General features: G+C 56.5%; 1 protein-coding gene across 20 annotated transcripts, besides 9 other annotated features; it reads left to right on the forward strand.

Moving 5' to 3' along the window:
- Positions 598-847: a silencer, noted in NCBI's record as "silent region_17241". NCBI's record gives its function as "represses an Ori minimal core promoter by ATAC-STARR-seq in GM12878 lymphoblastoid cells {active_cell/tissue: GM12878}" and the evidence as "EXISTENCE:reporter gene assay evidence [ECO:0000049][PMID:35858748]".
- VEGFA (vascular endothelial growth factor A) lies at positions 785-17,061 on the forward strand. 20 transcript variants are annotated; one of them, NM_001025366.3, is made up of 8 exons: positions 785-1,886; positions 4,915-4,966; positions 8,043-8,239; positions 9,034-9,110; positions 9,463-9,492; positions 11,306-11,428; positions 12,530-12,661; positions 15,115-17,061. In NM_001025366.3, the coding sequence occupies exons 1-8, from the start codon at positions 1,281-1,283 to the stop codon at positions 15,134-15,136; spliced, it is 1,239 nt and encodes a 412-aa protein (NP_001020537.2). In that variant the 5' UTR covers positions 785-1,280; the 3' UTR covers positions 15,137-17,061. The 20 variants fall into 10 exon arrangements, with proteins under 20 accessions (NP_001020537.2, NP_001165094.1, NP_003367.4 ...); NM_003376.6 differs by having other exon boundaries at positions 11,306-11,377; NM_001025367.3 differs by having other exon boundaries at positions 11,306-11,359.
- Positions 1,210-1,975: an enhancer, noted in NCBI's record as "H3K27ac hESC enhancer chr6:43738373-43739138 (GRCh37/hg19 assembly coordinates)". NCBI's record gives its function as "activates a minimal SCP1, AML or CMV promoter by ChIP-STARR-seq in naive H9 embryonic stem cells {active_cell/tissue: H9 hESC(naive)}" and the evidence as "EXISTENCE:reporter gene assay evidence [ECO:0000049][PMID:30033119]".
- Positions 1,210-2,754: a biological region, named in NCBI's record as "H3K27ac hESC enhancers GRCh37_chr6:43738373-43739138 and GRCh37_chr6:43739139-43739904".
- Positions 1,225-2,164: a silencer, noted in NCBI's record as "silent region_17242". NCBI's record gives its function as "represses an Ori minimal core promoter by ATAC-STARR-seq in GM12878 lymphoblastoid cells {active_cell/tissue: GM12878}" and the evidence as "EXISTENCE:reporter gene assay evidence [ECO:0000049][PMID:35858748]".
- Positions 1,976-2,741: an enhancer, noted in NCBI's record as "H3K27ac hESC enhancer chr6:43739139-43739904 (GRCh37/hg19 assembly coordinates)". NCBI's record gives its function as "activates a minimal SCP1, AML or CMV promoter by ChIP-STARR-seq in naive H9 embryonic stem cells {active_cell/tissue: H9 hESC(naive)}" and the evidence as "EXISTENCE:reporter gene assay evidence [ECO:0000049][PMID:30033119]".
- Positions 2,235-2,754: a silencer, noted in NCBI's record as "silent region_17243". NCBI's record gives its function as "represses an Ori minimal core promoter by ATAC-STARR-seq in GM12878 lymphoblastoid cells {active_cell/tissue: GM12878}" and the evidence as "EXISTENCE:reporter gene assay evidence [ECO:0000049][PMID:35858748]".
- Positions 2,742-3,507: an enhancer, noted in NCBI's record as "H3K27ac-H3K4me1 hESC enhancer chr6:43739905-43740670 (GRCh37/hg19 assembly coordinates)". NCBI's record gives its function as "activates a minimal SCP1, AML or CMV promoter by ChIP-STARR-seq in naive H9 embryonic stem cells {active_cell/tissue: H9 hESC(naive)}" and the evidence as "EXISTENCE:reporter gene assay evidence [ECO:0000049][PMID:30033119]".
- Positions 3,508-4,273: an enhancer, noted in NCBI's record as "H3K27ac-H3K4me1 hESC enhancer chr6:43740671-43741436 (GRCh37/hg19 assembly coordinates)". NCBI's record gives its function as "activates a minimal SCP1, AML or CMV promoter by ChIP-STARR-seq in naive H9 embryonic stem cells {active_cell/tissue: H9 hESC(naive)}" and the evidence as "EXISTENCE:reporter gene assay evidence [ECO:0000049][PMID:30033119]".
- Positions 5,326-5,620: an enhancer, noted in NCBI's record as "tiled region #8365; K562 Activating DNase unmatched - State 1:Tss". NCBI's record gives its function as "activates a minimal TATA promoter and a strong SV40 promoter by Sharpr-MPRA in K562 cells {active_cell/tissue: K562}" and the evidence as "EXISTENCE:reporter gene assay evidence [ECO:0000049][PMID:27701403]".

The raw sequence follows: 18,150 nt of genomic DNA on the forward strand, positions 1-18,150 counted from the left end.
GAGGGCTCCAGATGGCACATTGTCAGAGGGACACACTGTGGCCCCTGTGCCCAGCCCTGGGCTCTCTGTACATGAAGCAACTCCAGTCCCAAATATGTAGCTGTTTGGGAGGTCAGAAATAGGGGGTCCAGGAGCAAACTCCCCCCACCCCCTTTCCAAAGCCCATTCCCTCTTTAGCCAGAGCCGGGGTGTGCAGACGGCAGTCACTAGGGGGCGCTCGGCCACCACAGGGAAGCTGGGTGAATGGAGCGAGCAGCGTCTTCGAGAGTGAGGACGTGTGTGTCTGTGTGGGTGAGTGAGTGTGTGCGTGTGGGGTTGAGGGCGTTGGAGCGGGGAGAAGGCCAGGGGTCACTCCAGGATTCCAATAGATCTGTGTGTCCCTCTCCCCACCCGTCCCTGTCCGGCTCTCCGCCTTCCCCTGCCCCCTTCAATATTCCTAGCAAAGAGGGAACGGCTCTCAGGCCCTGTCCGCACGTAACCTCACTTTCCTGCTCCCTCCTCGCCAATGCCCCGCGGGCGCGTGTCTCTGGACAGAGTTTCCGGGGGCGGATGGGTAATTTTCAGGCTGTGAACCTTGGTGGGGGTCGAGCTTCCCCTTCATTGCGGCGGGCTGCGGGCCAGGCTTCACTGAGCGTCCGCAGAGCCCGGGCCCGAGCCGCGTGTGGAAGGGCTGAGGCTCGCCTGTCCCCGCCCCCCGGGGCGGGCCGGGGGCGGGGTCCCGGCGGGGCGGAGCCATGCGCCCCCCCCTTTTTTTTTTAAAAGTCGGCTGGTAGCGGGGAGGATCGCGGAGGCTTGGGGCAGCCGGGTAGCTCGGAGGTCGTGGCGCTGGGGGCTAGCACCAGCGCTCTGTCGGGAGGCGCAGCGGTTAGGTGGACCGGTCAGCGGACTCACCGGCCAGGGCGCTCGGTGCTGGAATTTGATATTCATTGATCCGGGTTTTATCCCTCTTCTTTTTTCTTAAACATTTTTTTTTAAAACTGTATTGTTTCTCGTTTTAATTTATTTTTGCTTGCCATTCCCCACTTGAATCGGGCCGACGGCTTGGGGAGATTGCTCTACTTCCCCAAATCACTGTGGATTTTGGAAACCAGCAGAAAGAGGAAAGAGGTAGCAAGAGCTCCAGAGAGAAGTCGAGGAAGAGAGAGACGGGGTCAGAGAGAGCGCGCGGGCGTGCGAGCAGCGAAAGCGACAGGGGCAAAGTGAGTGACCTGCTTTTGGGGGTGACCGCCGGAGCGCGGCGTGAGCCCTCCCCCTTGGGATCCCGCAGCTGACCAGTCGCGCTGACGGACAGACAGACAGACACCGCCCCCAGCCCCAGCTACCACCTCCTCCCCGGCCGGCGGCGGACAGTGGACGCGGCGGCGAGCCGCGGGCAGGGGCCGGAGCCCGCGCCCGGAGGCGGGGTGGAGGGGGTCGGGGCTCGCGGCGTCGCACTGAAACTTTTCGTCCAACTTCTGGGCTGTTCTCGCTTCGGAGGAGCCGTGGTCCGCGCGGGGGAAGCCGAGCCGAGCGGAGCCGCGAGAAGTGCTAGCTCGGGCCGGGAGGAGCCGCAGCCGGAGGAGGGGGAGGAGGAAGAAGAGAAGGAAGAGGAGAGGGGGCCGCAGTGGCGACTCGGCGCTCGGAAGCCGGGCTCATGGACGGGTGAGGCGGCGGTGTGCGCAGACAGTGCTCCAGCCGCGCGCGCTCCCCAGGCCCTGGCCCGGGCCTCGGGCCGGGGAGGAAGAGTAGCTCGCCGAGGCGCCGAGGAGAGCGGGCCGCCCCACAGCCCGAGCCGGAGAGGGAGCGCGAGCCGCGCCGGCCCCGGTCGGGCCTCCGAAACCATGAACTTTCTGCTGTCTTGGGTGCATTGGAGCCTTGCCTTGCTGCTCTACCTCCACCATGCCAAGGTAAGCGGTCGTGCCCTGCTGGCGCCGCGGGCCGCTGCGAGCGCCTCTCCCGGCTGGGGACGTGCGTGCGAGCGCGCGCGTGGGGGCTCCGTGCCCCACGCGGGTCCATGGGCACCAGGCGTGCGGCGTCCCCCTCTGTCGTCTTAGGTGCAGGGGGAGGGGGCGCGCGCGCTAGGTGGGAGGGTACCCGGAGAGAGGCTCACCGCCCACGCGGGCCCTGCCCACCCACCGGAGTCACCGCACGTACGATCTGGGCCGACCAGCCGAGGGCGGGAGCCGGAGGAGGAGGCCGAGGGGGCTGGGCTTGCGTTGCCGCTGCCGGCTGAAGTTTGCTCCCGGCCGCTGGTCCCGGACGAACTGGAAGTCTGAGCAGCGGGGGCGGGAGCCAGAGACCAGTGGGCAGGGGGTGCTCGGACCTTGGACCGCGGGAGGGCAGAGAGCGTGGAGGGGGCAGGGCGCAGGAGGGAGAGGGGGCTTGCTGTCACTGCCACTCGGTCTCTTCAGCCCTCGCCGCGAGTTTGGGAAAAGTTTTGGGGTGGATTGCTGCGGGGACCCCCCCTCCCTGCTGGGCCACCTGCGCCGCGCCAACCCCGCCCGTCCCCGCTCGCGTCCCGCTCGGTGCCCGCCCTCCCCCGCCCGGCCGGGTGCGCGCGGCGCGGAGCCGATTACATCAGCCCGGGCCTGGCCGGCCGCGTGTTCCCGGAGCCTCGGCTGCCCGAATGGGGAGCCCAGAGTGGCGAGCGGCACCCCTCCCCCCGCCAGCCCTCCGCGGGAAGGTGACCTCTCGAGGTAGCCCCAGCCCGGGGATCCAGAGAACCATCCCTACCCCTTCCTACTGTCTCCAGACCCTACCTCTGCCCAGTGCTAGGAGGAATTTCCTGACGCCCCTTCTCTTCACCCATTTCCTTTTTAGCCTGGAGAGAAGCCCCTGTCACCCCGCTTATTTTCATTTCTCTCTGCGGAGAAGATCCATCTAACCCCTTTCTGGCCCCAGAGTCCAGGGAAAGGATGATCACTGTCAGAAGTCGTGGCGCGGGAGCCCACTGGGCGCTTTGTCACATTCCACCGAAAGTCCCGACTTGGTGACAGTGTGCTTCCCTTCCCTCGCCAACAGTTCCGAGTGAGCTGTGCTTTAGCTCTCGTGGGGGTGGGTCAAGGGAGGATTTGAAGAGTCATTGCCCCACTTTACCCTTTTGGAGAAATGGCTTGAAATTTGCTGTGACACGGGCAGCATGGGAATAGTCCTTCCTGAACCCTGGAAAGGAGCTCCTGCCAGCCTTGCACACACTTTGTCCTGGTGAAAGGCAGCCCTGGAGCAGGTGTTTTTTTGGAACTCCAAACCTGCCCACCCAACTTGCTTCTGAAAGGGACTCTAAAGGGTCCCTTTCCGCTCCTCTCTGACGCCTTCCCTCAGCCAGAATTCCCTTGGAGAGGAGGCAAGAGGAAAGCCATGGACAGGGGTCGCTGCTAACACCGCAAGTTCCTCAGACCCTGGCACAAAGGCCTTGGCTACAGGCCTCCAAGTAGGGAGGAGGGGGAGGAGTGGCTGCCTGGCCACAGTGTGACCTTCAGAGGCCCCCAGAGAAGGACACCTGGCCCCTGCCTGCCTAGAACCGCCCCTCCTGTGCTCCCTGGCCTTGGAAGGGGTATGAAATTTCCGTCCCCTTTCCTCCTTGGGGCCCAGGAGGAGTGGAGGGTCCCGGGAGAATATTGTCAGGGGGAAGGCAGGGGGTGTCATGGGAATGGGTGAGGGGGCTGAGGTGCAGAATCCAGGGGGTCCCTGCAGGAGCCGCAGTGGTAAGCTGTCCAGCTGGAAGCCTGGTAACTGTTGTTTTCTCTTGAGAGGGGCTTCCTGTGACCTTGGCTGTCTCTGGGAGCAGGGCTGGGGTACCTGAGTGGGGTGCATTTGGGGTGTGTGGGAAGGAGAGGGAAAGAAAGATGGACAGTGGGACTCTCCCCTAGCAGGGTCTGGTGTTCCGTAGGCTAGAGTGCCCCTCTGCTCTGCGAGTGCTGGGCGGGAGGGGAGTTGGTGAGAGCTGGAGACCCCCAGGAAGGGCTGGCAGAAGCCTTTCCTTTTGGGTGCTGTCAGGTCCGCATGTCTTGGCGTGTTGACCTTCACAGCTTCTGGCGAGGGGAGGAATGATCTGATGCGGGTGGGGAGGGTTAGAGGAGGCCTCAGGCCTAAGGTGGTGCAGGGGGCCCCCTAGGGGCTGGGCAGTGCCAAGGCATAAAAGCCTTCCCTGGTCCCTGGTGGCATTTGAAGGTGCCCAGGTGAGAGGGGCTTGGCACCTCCTCACCCTGGGAGGGAGAAGAAACCAGGGAACAGGTAGGAGTGGGAGACAGGTGAGGCTTTGGAAATCTATTGAGGCTCTGGAGAGATTTGTGTAGAGAGGAAAATGTGGTTCTCCCCCAGGGTCTCCTCCTGGGTTTTTACCCTCTAAGCAACCTGTGGGCATGCTGGGTTATTCCTAAGGACTAGAAGAGCTTGGATGGGGGAGGGTGGTTGGTGCCCTTCGGTCCTCGGCACCCCCCTCCGTCTCCAACACCAGCTCACCCTGGTATTTGTCATGTCAGCAGGAGAAGGTCACCATGTTGTTTTTCTCGCCCCTAGTCCTTCCTTCCTGCCCCAGTCCAAATTTGTCCTCCTATTTGACCTTAATACTTACCATGGCTTTGGACCAGGGAACTAGGGGGATAGTGAGAGCAGGGAGAGGGAAGTGTGGGGAAGGTACAGGGGACCTCGACAGTGAAGCATTCTGGGGTTTTCCTCCTGCATTTCGAGCTCCCCAGCCCCCAACATCTGGTTAGTCTTTAACTTCCTCGGGTTCATAACCATAGCAGTCCAGGAGTGGTGGGCATATTCTGTGCCCGTGGGGACCCCCGGTTGTGTCCTGTTCGACTCAGAAGACTTGGAGAAGCCAGAGGCTGTTGGTGGGAGGGAAGTGAGGAGGGAGGAGGGGCTGGGTGGCTGGGCCTGTGCACCCCAGCCCCTGCCCATGCCCATGCCTTGCTCTCTTTCTGTCCTCAGTGGTCCCAGGCTGCACCCATGGCAGAAGGAGGAGGGCAGAATCATCACGAAGGTGAGTCCCCCTGGCTGTTGGATGGGGTTCCCTGTCCTCTCAGGGGATGGGTGGATGGCCTAATTCCTTTTTCTTCAGAACTGTGGGGAGGAAGGGGAAGGGGCACAGGAATATAAGGATCAAGAAAGAAAGAGCTGGGCACCACGAGGTTCACCCTCAGTTTCGTGAGGACTCTCCGCTGTTCAGGTCTCTGCTAGAAGTAGGACTTGTTGCCTTTTTCTTCTGCTCTTTCCAGTAAAATTTTATTTGGAGAAGGAGTCGTGCGCACAGAGCAGGAAGACAGTGTTCAGGGATCCTAGGTGTTGGGGGAAGTGTCCCTTGTTTCCCCTAGCTCCCAGGGGAGAGTGGACATTTAGTGTCATTTCCTATATAGACATGTCCCATTTGTGGGAACTGTGACCCTTCCTGTGTGAGCTGGAGGCACAGAGGGCTCAGCCTAATGGGATCTCTCCTCCCTTCCCTGGTTTGCATTCCTTTGGGGGTGGAGAAAACCCCATTTGACTATGTTCGGGTGCTGTGAACTTCCCTCCCAGGCCAGCAGAGGGCTGGCTGTAGCTCCCAGGCGCCCCGCCCCCCTGCCCAACCCCGAGTCCGCCTGCCTTTTGTTCCGTTGTGGTTTGGATCCTCCCATTTCTCTGGGGACACCCTGGCTCTCCCCACCACTGACTGTGGCCTGTGCTCTCCACCTCTGGGGAGGGAAGGCCCTGGGGTCTTCCTTCCCGCGAGTTTCCCTGACCTAAATCTGGCGTGGCTGGGTAGTGGCCAGCAGTGGTGATGCCCAGCCTGTTCTGCCTCCTCCTTCCCCACCCCAGGAGCCCTTTCCTTGGCCTAGGACCTGGCTTCTCAGCCACTGACCGGCCCCCTGCTTCCAGTGCGCCACTTACCCCTTCCAGCTTCCCAGTGGTCTCTGGTCTGGGAGAGGCAGGACAAAGGTCTTTGTTTGCTGGAGAAAAGGTTGTCTGCGATAAATAAGGAAAACCACGAAAGCCTGGTTGTTGGAGTGTACGTGTGTGCTCCCCCAGGCAGTGGAGGCCAGCCCTCCTTGGAGGGGCGGCTGCCTGATGAAGGATGCGGGTGAGGTTCCCCGCCTCCACCTCCCATGGGACTTGGGGATTCATTCCAAGGGGAAGCTTTTTGGGGGAATTCCTACCCCAGGTCTTTTTACCCTCAGTTACCAACCCCTTGCCCAGGCCAGACCTTCCTGCTATCCCCTCCTGGGCCACAAGCCTGGCCCTCCTCTGTCCCAATTGTGATGAAGGGGCAGTTCAAAACTTCTTGATTAGTCATCTTCTCCCCTATCGACTTGGCTTTAAAAAATGACCTTTTCAGACTTCTAGTCTCGTTCACTCTTTTTGATGATGCTTTGCCGTAACCCTTCGTGGGTAGAGAAGGATTCTGTGCCCATTGGTGGTCTGGATAAAAGAAATAGAGACCTCACAGGAAGCAGTGGACTGGCCTGTTTCCCCACTGTTCTTTCTGTTTTCACACCTGTGGCCTTCTCCCCACCTTCTTCCCAATCAACCTATTGTGTACATAGCCCCCCTCATTGTCCTTTATTCTTCTGGAAAGCAGACCTTGGAGGGAGGAGTGAGGGGGAGGCTCAGCTGTGGTCTCTGGGGGGTGGGGGTTGGGAGCTGGGGTGGAAGTCCACGAAGCATACACTTAAGATGCTTTGGTGAAGTTCTAAACTTCATATTACCCAGGCTGAAAAAAGAGCACTTGTTCCTAGGGCTGGAAATGGAAGCCAAAACACCACCTTTTTCAGCCTGTTTCAGCATCTTTAGAGATCAGCCCAACCCACTTACACAGTTGAGCAGAGTTGGAGGCCTAGAGAGGGGAGGGACTGGCCCAAGGTCATACCAACTCATGGCCAGAGCCTGGGCCTCCTCACTGGCCAGGTGTTATTTCTTCCCTCTGGGTAGGGAACCTATTTCAGGGACAGGATTGCTATGTGGTAGTGGTGGTGGGGTGCGATAGGCGTGGCAGGCTGGGCCACAATTTGGAGTAGTCATGCCAGAGTCCTGCATTTATTTATTCTCAAGGGCCCCGCCTCTGTGGCCCAGAATTACCCCTTCATGCTCCAGTGCACCCCAGGCTTCGTGGCCAGCCTGGGAAACTGTCTCTACCCTGGTCTCCCTTCAGATCAGCTTCTAGAAATGTTTCGTGGCTACAGTGGCAGCACTGTTTTTTCCATGATGCAAGCAGTTTGCCCTCTTGGGCGGGGTTATCAGTGGCTGGCAGGGCTGGCACAGCGTGTCCGCCCACTGCCACCTGTGGGTTCCAGGAGGGCCCAGCCCCTGTGCTGATGCCCACCACCTTCTCAGCTCATGTCTGGGGAAGAGGACTGGCAGGGGGAAAGGTGCCTCCTCCTGAAAGGTGCCTCCTCTGTTTTTGCCTAATATAGGCTTGGGAACACTTTGATGTCAGCTAATTCTGACTCCTTTACTTACTAGCTGTGCGGCCTTGGGGCAACTTACTTAGCCTCTTTGAGCCTCCTGTTCCCCATCTGTAAAATGGAATCTCAATAGTGTCTAATAGTACCATGTGGAGAAACTTGTGTGAAATGATAGCTGTGGACTACTGTACACAGTACTCAGGATGTAGTAAGTGCTCAATAAACAGCTGTTGGTATGGTTGACGTTATGGTAGTGGTTGTGGGGAGGACGTAGGAAACTGGAGACTAGCTTGGCAAAGCTGGCTCTTCCTCCTTTTAGGGAAAGCTTAGAGCATCCCCATGGGGTATACCCATACTCAGACTGTCCTCTGGCATCGAGGTTGGCCCAGGATTCAGTTCAGCTGTCACAGTGAGGTGGCGGGATCAGATGTGGCAGGCCATGTCCCTTGGAACTTGAGTACATCGTGTGATCTCTGGAATGAAAACAGGCCTTCACCAGTGTTGATGGTGGAAAGCTTAGGGAAGTGCTTCAAACACAGTAGGAGGGACTTACGTTAGATTTTGGAAGGACTTGCCTGATTCGGAAGCTCCAAAGAGTGGCATTACAGAGCTGGGTGGAGAGAGGGGCTAGCCATCTTTTGTGTCGCCCACCGGGCTCATGTGTCATCGCCTCTCATGCAGTGGTGAAGTTCATGGATGTCTATCAGCGCAGCTACTGCCATCCAATCGAGACCCTGGTGGACATCTTCCAGGAGTACCCTGATGAGATCGAGTACATCTTCAAGCCATCCTGTGTGCCCCTGATGCGATGCGGGGGCTGCTGCAATGACGAGGGCCTGGAGTGTGTGCCCACTGAGGAGTCCAACATCACCATGCAGGTGGGCATCTTTGGGAAGTGGGGCAAGGGGGGGATAGGGAGGGGGGTAACACTTTGGGAACAGGTGGTCCCAGGTCGTTTCCTGGCTAGATTTGCCTTGTCTGGCTCCTGCCCCTGAGTTGCACAGGGGAGGTATGGTGGGGTCTTGCCTTCTGTGGAGAAGATGCTTCATTCCCAGCCCAGGTTCCCAGCAAGCCCCAACCATCTCCTTCTCCCTGATGGTTGCCCATGGGCTCAGGAGGGGACAGATGGATGCCTGTGTCAGGAGCCCCTCTCTCCCTCTCTTGGAGAGAGTCCTGAGTGCCCCCCCTTCTTGGGGGCTTTGTTTGGGAAGCTGGATGAGCCTGGTCCATGGAGAGTTTAAAAAGTCTTTTGGTGTTACCTGGTAATGGGGCACATCTCAGCCCAGATAGGGTGGGAGGGAGCTGTGAAACACAGGGAGGGGGTTGCTTTCGGGTATCTACTAGGAGTCAGGGTGAAGCCTAGAGAGGATGAAAGAAGGGGAGGGGATGGGGAGTGGTAAGAACCTAGGATTTGAATTCCCAGCCTGGCCAACCCTTGCAGCCATGTCTTGGCCTCAAGTGGAACAAGGGCTCCTTGAGGCCAGCAGGGTTGGGGGAGTTGGGGTGGGCCTGAGCCTCTTTCCTGCTAGAGCTCTTGGTCCTCCCTGCCTCCACCACCCATCCCTGCTCTGCAGAACCCCTGGGTGCTGAGTGGCAGGAGCCCCAGGGTTGTCCCATCTGGGTATGGCTGGCTGGGTCACTAACCTCTGTGATCTGCTTCCTTCCTTTCCAGATTATGCGGATCAAACCTCACCAAGGCCAGCACATAGGAGAGATGAGCTTCCTACAGCACAACAAATGTGAATGCAGGTGAGGATGTAGTCACGGATTCATTATCAGCAAGTGGCTGCAGGGTGCCTGATCTGTGCCAGGGTTAAGCATGCTGTACTTTTTGGCCCCCGTCCAGCTTCCCGCTATGTGACCTTTGGCATTTTACTTCAATGTGCCTCAGTTTCTACATCTGTAAAATGGGCACAATAGTAGTATACTTCATAGCATTGTTATAATGATTAAACAAGTTATATATGAAAAGATTAAAACAGTGTTGCTCCATAATAAATGCTGTTTTTACTGTGATTATTATTGTTGTTATCCCTATCATTATCATCACCATCTTAACCCTTCCCTGTTTTGCTCTTTTCTCTCTCCCTACCCATTGCAGACCAAAGAAAGATAGAGCAAGACAAGAAAAGTAAGTGGCCCTGACTTTAGCACTTCTCCCTCTCCATGGCCGGTTGTCTTGGTTTGGGGCTCTTGGCTACCTCTGTTGGGGGCTCCCATAGCCTCCCTGGGTCAGGGACTTGGTCTTGTGGGGGACTTGTGGTGGCAGCAACAATGGGATGGAGCCAACTCCAGGATGATGGCTCTAGGGCTAGTGAGAAAACATAGCCAGGAGCCTGGCACTTCCTTTGGAAGGGACAATGCCTTCTGGGTCTCCAGATCATTCCTGACCAGGACTTGCTGTTTCGGTGTGTCAGGGGGCACTGTGGACACTGGCTCACTGGCTTGCTCTAGGACACCCACAGTGGGGAGAGGGAGTGGGTGGCAGAGAGGCCAGCTTTTGTGTGTCAGAGGAAATGGCCTCTTTTGGTGGCTGCTGTGACGGTGCAGTTGGATGCGAGGCCGGCTGGAGGGTGGTTTCTCAGTGCATGCCCTCCTGTAGGCGGCAGGCGGCAGACACACAGCCCTCTTGGCCAGGGAGAAAAAGTTGAATGTTGGTCATTTTCAGAGGCTTGTGAGTGCTCCGTGTTAAGGGGCAGGTAGGATGGGGTGGGGGACAAGGTCTGGCGGCAGTAACCCTTCAAGACAGGGTGGGCGGCTGGCATCAGCAAGAGCTTGCAGGGAAAGAGAGACTGAGAGAGAGCACCTGTGCCCTGCCCTTTCCCCCACACCATCTTGTCTGCCTCCAGTGCTGTGCGGACATTGAAGCCCCCACCAGGCCTCAACCCCTTGCCTCTTCCCTCAGCTCCCAGCTTCCAGAGCGAGGGGATGCGGAAACCTTCCTTCCACCCTTTGGTGCTTTCTCCTAAGGGGGACAGACTTGCCCTCTCTGGTCCCTTCTCCCCCTCCTTTCTTCCCTGTGACAGACATCCTGAGGTGTGTTCTCTTGGGCTTGGCAGGCATGGAGAGCTCTGGTTCTCTTGAAGGGGACAGGCTACAGCCTGCCCCCCTTCCTGTTTCCCCAAATGACTGCTCTGCCATGGGGAGAGTAGGGGGCTCGCCTGGGCTCGGAAGAGTGTCTGGTGAGATGGTGTAGCAGGCTTTGACAGGCTGGGGAGAGAACTCCCTGCCAAGTACCGCCCAAGCCTCTCCTCCCCAGACCTCCTTAACTCCCACCCCATCCTGCTGCCTGCCCAGGGCTCCAGGACACCCAGCCCTGCCTCCCAGTCCAGGTCGTGCTGAGCAGGCTGGTGTTGCTCTTGGTTCCGTGCCAGCTCCCAAGGTAGCCGCTTCCCCCACACCGGGATTCCCAGAGGTTCTGTCGCAGTTGCAAATGAAGGCACAAGGCCTGATACACAGCCCTCCCTCCCACTCCTGCTCCCCATCCAGGCAGGTCTCTGACCTTCTCCCCAAAGTCTGGCCTACCTTTTATCACCCCCGGACCTTCAGGGTCAGACTTGGACAGGGCTGCTGGGCAAAGAGCCTTCCCTCAGGCTTTGCCCCCTGCCGGGGACTGGGAGCCACTGTGAGTGTGGAGACCTTTGGGTCCTGTGCCCTCCACCCAGTCTCGGCTTCCCACCAAAGCCTTGTCAGGGGCTGGGTTTGCCATCCCATGGTGGGCAGCGTGAGGAGAAGAAAGAGCCATCGAGTGCTTGCTGCCCAGACACGCCTGTGTGCGCCCGCGCATGCCTCCCCAGAGACCACCTGCCTCCTGACACTTCCTCCGGGAAGCGGCCCTGTGTGGCTTTGCTTTGGTCGTTCCCCCATCCCTGCCCACCTTACCACTTCTTTTACTCCCCCCACCGCCCCCGCTCTCTCTCTGTCTCTGTTTTTTTATTTTCCAGAAAATCAGTTCGAGGAAAGGGAAAGGGGCAAAAACGAAAGCGCAAGAAATCCCGGTATAAGTCCTGGAGCGTGTACGTTGGTGCCCGCTGCTGTCTAATGCCCTGGAGCCTCCCTGGCCCCCAGTACAACCTCCGCCTGCCATTCCCTGTAACCCTGCCTCCCTCCCCTGGTCCTTCCCTGGCTCTCATCCTCCTGGCCCGTGTCTCTCTCTCACTCTCTCACTCCACTAATTGGCACCAACGGGTAGATTTGGTGGTGGCATTGCTGGTCCAGGGTTGGGGTGAATGGGGGTGCCGACTTGGCCTGGAGGATTAAGGGAGGGGACCCTGGCTTGGCTGGGCACCGATTTTCTCTCACCCACTGGGCACTGGTGGCGGGCCCATGTTGGCACAGGTGCCTGCTCACCCAACTGGTTTCCATTGCTCTAGGCTTCTGCACTCGTCTGGAAGCTGAGGGTGGTGGGGAGGGCAGACATGGCCCAAGAAGGGCTGTGAATGACTGGAGGCAGCTTGCTGAATGACTCCTTGGCTGAAGGAGGAGCTTGGGTGGGATCAGACACCATGTGGCGGCCTCCCTTCATCTGGTGGAAGTGCCCTGGCTCCTCACGGAGGTGGGGCCTCTGGAGGGGAGCCCCCTATTCCGGCCCAACCCATGGCACCCACAGAGGCCTCCTTGCAGGGCAGCCTCTTCCTCTGGGTCGGAGGCTGTGGTGGGCCCTGCCCTGGGCCCTCTGGCCACCAGCGGCCTGGCCTGGGGACACCGCCTCCGGGCTTAGCCTCCCATCACACCCTACTTTAGCCCACCTTGGTGGAAGGGCCTGGACATGAGCCTTGCACGGGGAGAAGGTGGCCCCTGATTGCCATCCCCAGCAGGTGAAGAGTCAAGGCGTGCTCCGATGGGGGCAACAGCAGTTGGGTCCCTGTGGCCTGAGACTCACCCTTGTCTCCCAGAGACACAGCATTGCCCCTTATGGCAGCCTCTCCCTGCACTCTCTGCCCGTCTGTGCCCGCCTCTTCCTGCGGCAGGTGTCCTAGCCAGTGCTGCCTCTTTCCGCCGCTCTCTCTGTCTTTTGCTGTAGCGCTCGGATCCTTCCAGGGCCTGGGGGCTGACCGGCTGGGTGGGGGTGCAGCTGCGGACATGTTAGGGGGTGTTGCATGGTGATTTTTTTTCTCTCTCTCTGCTGATGCTCTAGCTTAGATGTCTTTCCTTTTGCCTTTTTGCAGTCCCTGTGGGCCTTGCTCAGAGCGGAGAAAGCATTTGTTTGTACAAGATCCGCAGACGTGTAAATGTTCCTGCAAAAACACAGACTCGCGTTGCAAGGCGAGGCAGCTTGAGTTAAACGAACGTACTTGCAGGTTGGTTCCCAGAGGGCAAGCAAGTCAGAGAGGGGCATCACACAGAGATGGGGAGAGAGAGAGAGAAAGAGAGTGAGCGAGCGAGCGAGCGGGAGAGCGCCTGAGAGGGGCCAGCTGCTTGCTCAGTTTCTAGCTGCCTGCCTGGTGACTGCTGCCTTCTCTGCTTTTAAGGCCCCTGTGGTGGGCTGCAGGCACTGGTCCAGCCTGGCGGGGCCTGTTCCGAGGTTGCCCTGGTTGCCTGAGTGGTAGGCTGGTGTGGCTTAGTGTAGTGGTGTGGACGCAAGCTGTGTGTTGTGTCCTGTGGTCCTTCTGCTCATAGTGGCTGTTGGTCCTGATGTTATTACTACCTCTGGTAGTAATGCTGAGAAGCTGAAAGCCGATTCCAGGTGTGGACAATGTCAACAAAGCACAGATGCTCTCGCTGGGGCCTTGCCTCGGCCCTTTGAAGTCTGCATGGCTGGGCTTCTCACTCACTCAGTGTTTCTTGCTGGGGGAAGGAATTGAGTCTCCCACTTCAGACTGGGCCTCCCTGAGGAAAGGGTTGTGTCTCCCCACTCAGACTGAGGTTCCCTGAGGGTAGGGCTGTGTCTCTCCCCTCCGACCTGGGCTCCCTGATAGGGCTGTCTCCCCGCTCAGACTGAGGCTCCCTCAGGCCAGGGCTATGTCTCCCTCCTCAGACTGGGGCTCTGAGGGCAAGGGGTCTGGCTGTTCGTTTAGGATGGGGCACTTTTGCCTACACACTGAAGGAGCTGTAGCATCCAAGAATACTAGATACCTTTAATCCTCCACCAGTCATGGTGACAACCCCAAGCAGCCCACACATTTTCAAGTGCCCCCAGGATGCGTGGAGGGAGGGGTCTGTGCCCATTCTCCTGACATTAGCCTGTGAGCTCCGTAAGCCCGGGCCTCGTTTACGTACCTTTGTGAGCCCCGGGCATCTGTACCTCTTTCCTTTGCCCATACTGGGGACCAAGGAAGTGTCAAGTGCATGAGTGAATGTGTGACTCAGTTCAGAGGGTGAGGTCAGGAGCACAGGGTCGGGACAGGTGGCTGGCATCTTTTAATGCCTTAGCTTATGTTCTTTATACCAACTTGGCCTGTGCTCAGAGTGAGGGAGGCCCTGGGGGTCAGGGTAAGCGTCAGTCAGGGAGGCAAGACTTTGTGGGGATTTCCTAGACAGGGCCAAGGCACCCCCAGCTCACCCCGAGGCTGTGTTAGGGAAGTCCTTGGAGTGTCTCCCCTCCCCCAGCAATGTTCTTGTGGCTTGTGTGTGCTCAGGGGATGCTGGGAACCAGGCCTGGGTAGTTGGTGTGGGGTGCTGTCTGTCTTGGCCCTATGTGAAACCAAGAGGGCGTATATTAGTGCTGGGGTGGGGGCTCTGCCTAACTTCAGGGCTGGATGAGGGGAGTCTCAGTTCCCCAGGGGTCCTTGGGAAAGATAAGGGACTTGACATTTTAGGGTTTTTAGGTGATTATTCTGCTGATGGGGGTTTGTGTGAAGTGACCTGGGAGCTAACTGAAGTTACTCTAACCTCCCAATACCTTTACCCAACCCCCAAGCTGGCTGTATCTGGGAATATCAGTTTCCAAAATTGGAGGCTTAGGACTCCGTTTCGGGGCTCCCCAGAAGGGTAGGGCCTGTTCTGCCTCCTTCTCACAATCACCCAGGGGCAGGGGCATGCTGAGAAAGTTCTTGGAGGCCCCCTTTGCTTCAGCTGGAGTAGTGAAGCCGCCGAATTGTCTCTCCCCATCCTAAGTGAAGCAGCATATTTGAAAGGAAAGACAACCTGTTACCTGGGCCTGCAACCTCCAGGCAGCTCAAGAGAGATGAGGCCTACAGCCACAGTGGGAGGGGACATGGGGAATGGAGATGGTCCCTCACCTTCCTGGGGCCTCCTGCTCTACGCTACCCCCTCGGGAGCCTCCTGTCCCCAGGGCAGGCCCTTGCCATTGTTGGTCACCCGGCCAAGCCTCTCTGCCTCAGGCGTTCTCCCAGAAGATCTGCCCACTCTCTTCCCCACACCAGCCCCTAGAGACTGAACTGAAAACCCTCCTCAGCAGGGAGCCTCTTCTGATTAACTTCATCCAGCTCTGGTCACCCATCAGCTCTTAAAATGTCAAGTGGGGACTGTTCTTTGGTATCCGTTCATTTGTTGCTTTGTAAAGTGTTCCCATGTCCTTGTCTTGTCTCAAGTAGATTGCAAGCTCAGGAGGGTAGACTGGGAGCCCCTGAGTGGAGCTGCTGCTCAGGCCGGGGCTCCCTGAGGGCAGGGCTGGGGCTGTTCTCATACTGGGGCTTTCTGCCCCAGGACCACACCTTCCTGTCCTCTCTGCTCTTATGGTGCCGGAGGCTGCAGTGACCCAGGGGCCCCCAGGAATGGGGAGGCCGCCTGCCTCATCGCCAGGCCTCCTCACTTGGCCCTAACCCCAGCCTTTGTTTTCCATTTCCCTCAGATGTGACAAGCCGAGGCGGTGAGCCGGGCAGGAGGAAGGAGCCTCCCTCAGGGTTTCGGGAACCAGATCTCTCACCAGGAAAGACTGATACAGAACGATCGATACAGAAACCACGCTGCCGCCACCACACCATCACCATCGACAGAACAGTCCTTAATCCAGAAACCTGAAATGAAGGAAGAGGAGACTCTGCGCAGAGCACTTTGGGTCCGGAGGGCGAGACTCCGGCGGAAGCATTCCCGGGCGGGTGACCCAGCACGGTCCCTCTTGGAATTGGATTCGCCATTTTATTTTTCTTGCTGCTAAATCACCGAGCCCGGAAGATTAGAGAGTTTTATTTCTGGGATTCCTGTAGACACACCCACCCACATACATACATTTATATATATATATATTATATATATATAAAAATAAATATCTCTATTTTATATATATAAAATATATATATTCTTTTTTTAAATTAACAGTGCTAATGTTATTGGTGTCTTCACTGGATGTATTTGACTGCTGTGGACTTGAGTTGGGAGGGGAATGTTCCCACTCAGATCCTGACAGGGAAGAGGAGGAGATGAGAGACTCTGGCATGATCTTTTTTTTGTCCCACTTGGTGGGGCCAGGGTCCTCTCCCCTGCCCAGGAATGTGCAAGGCCAGGGCATGGGGGCAAATATGACCCAGTTTTGGGAACACCGACAAACCCAGCCCTGGCGCTGAGCCTCTCTACCCCAGGTCAGACGGACAGAAAGACAGATCACAGGTACAGGGATGAGGACACCGGCTCTGACCAGGAGTTTGGGGAGCTTCAGGACATTGCTGTGCTTTGGGGATTCCCTCCACATGCTGCACGCGCATCTCGCCCCCAGGGGCACTGCCTGGAAGATTCAGGAGCCTGGGCGGCCTTCGCTTACTCTCACCTGCTTCTGAGTTGCCCAGGAGACCACTGGCAGATGTCCCGGCGAAGAGAAGAGACACATTGTTGGAAGAAGCAGCCCATGACAGCTCCCCTTCCTGGGACTCGCCCTCATCCTCTTCCTGCTCCCCTTCCTGGGGTGCAGCCTAAAAGGACCTATGTCCTCACACCATTGAAACCACTAGTTCTGTCCCCCCAGGAGACCTGGTTGTGTGTGTGTGAGTGGTTGACCTTCCTCCATCCCCTGGTCCTTCCCTTCCCTTCCCGAGGCACAGAGAGACAGGGCAGGATCCACGTGCCCATTGTGGAGGCAGAGAAAAGAGAAAGTGTTTTATATACGGTACTTATTTAATATCCCTTTTTAATTAGAAATTAAAACAGTTAATTTAATTAAAGAGTAGGGTTTTTTTTCAGTATTCTTGGTTAATATTTAATTTCAACTATTTATGAGATGTATCTTTTGCTCTCTCTTGCTCTCTTATTTGTACCGGTTTTTGTATATAAAATTCATGTTTCCAATCTCTCTCTCCCTGATCGGTGACAGTCACTAGCTTATCTTGAACAGATATTTAATTTTGCTAACACTCAGCTCTGCCCTCCCCGATCCCCTGGCTCCCCAGCACACATTCCTTTGAAATAAGGTTTCAATATACATCTACATACTATATATATATTTGGCAACTTGTATTTGTGTGTATATATATATATATATGTTTATGTATATATGTGATTCTGATAAAATAGACATTGCTATTCTGTTTTTTATATGTAAAAACAAAACAAGAAAAAATAGAGAATTCTACATACTAAATCTCTCTCCTTTTTTAATTTTAATATTTGTTATCATTTATTTATTGGTGCTACTGTTTATCCGTAATAATTGTGGGGAAAAGATATTAACATCACGTCTTTGTCTCTAGTGCAGTTTTTCGAGATATTCCGTAGTACATATTTATTTTTAAACAACGACAAAGAAATACAGATATATCTTAAAAAAAAAAAAGCATTTTGTATTAAAGAATTTAATTCTGATCTCAAAGCTCCTCTTGGTTTCTCCTTCTCCATTGAATCCTTGCTCTAGACTTCCTCCCGCCCCCTTTCCCTCTTCCTCTGGGGAACATGGCATTTGTCTTGGGTCTGGGAAAGGTACGTCTAATGTGTAGGATATGGGGTGACCCACCTTGTTGTGCTGGGGGCAAAGTCCTTCCATTTTGGCTGAGCTGGTCCTGGGGGAACCCATCCATCCTGTCTTGATATAGAAGGTGGGAAGCTCTGGGAATGGGTGGAGGGGGAGAAACAGCTTAGGAGCCAAGGGCCCTTGCAATTGGTAGTGCTGCCTTCAGGAATTAGATGATCCAGGCCCCTGTCCCTTAGCCAGGGAAAGAACTGGCCATGTCTCCAAGCTTGCTGCCCAGGAGACAGGAGAGAGCTGTTTTTGTCTGTGGGGGTCTTGTTGGCTGCAACAGGCTGGGAGTGGGAGGGGGATGCTGCTGGAGGGCTGTGACTCCAGGGTGTAACTTAATTTTACATAGTTTTACACCCTGGAGTTCCTTGAGCCTCTGGAAGATGGACCCATAGGTTTGGTCACCACTGATGGGACACTCCCTGCCCCAGCTTGCCATAAGCTCTTCTCTCACGTCCTGCTCCTGGGTAAGGTGGCACCTATCCAGGTCTTTGACACTGAAGGGCAGTGCTTCCAAATTCACTTCCTCTAGCCTCTCATTTATTCTTGCAAACCATAGATATGGCTTGAATAAATATTGAGCCAGTCATTGTGCTGCTATGAATAAGACACAATTCCACCCCTCAAGGATCTGGTGAGGATGGGTGGGTGGGGAGACCCAAAACTATAAATCCATGAGCAGAAAAATACATAAAATGTGCTGGGGGCATCTGATCTAGCTTGGGAGTGGGAGTTGTATTGGGGGTGGTGGCTGGGGGGTGGTGTCTTATGACATTATCTCTAGGCTGCCACTTAAAGTATGGTTTGAAGACAGGGAGAACGGGGCGGCGGAGTGAAAGGGTTGAGGACATCCCAGGCAGAAGGGATAGTGTGAGCAAGGCATGAAGGTGGCACTTGGGCAGGGGCAGGGAGTGGGTGGGCAGGGTGGAGGCTGGAGACACGGGC

The sequence above is a fragment of the Homo sapiens genome, chromosome 6 (assembly GCF_000001405.40).
Source record: "Homo sapiens chromosome 6, GRCh38.p14 Primary Assembly".
Lineage (NCBI taxonomy): Eukaryota > Metazoa > Chordata > Mammalia > Primates > Hominidae > Homo > Homo sapiens.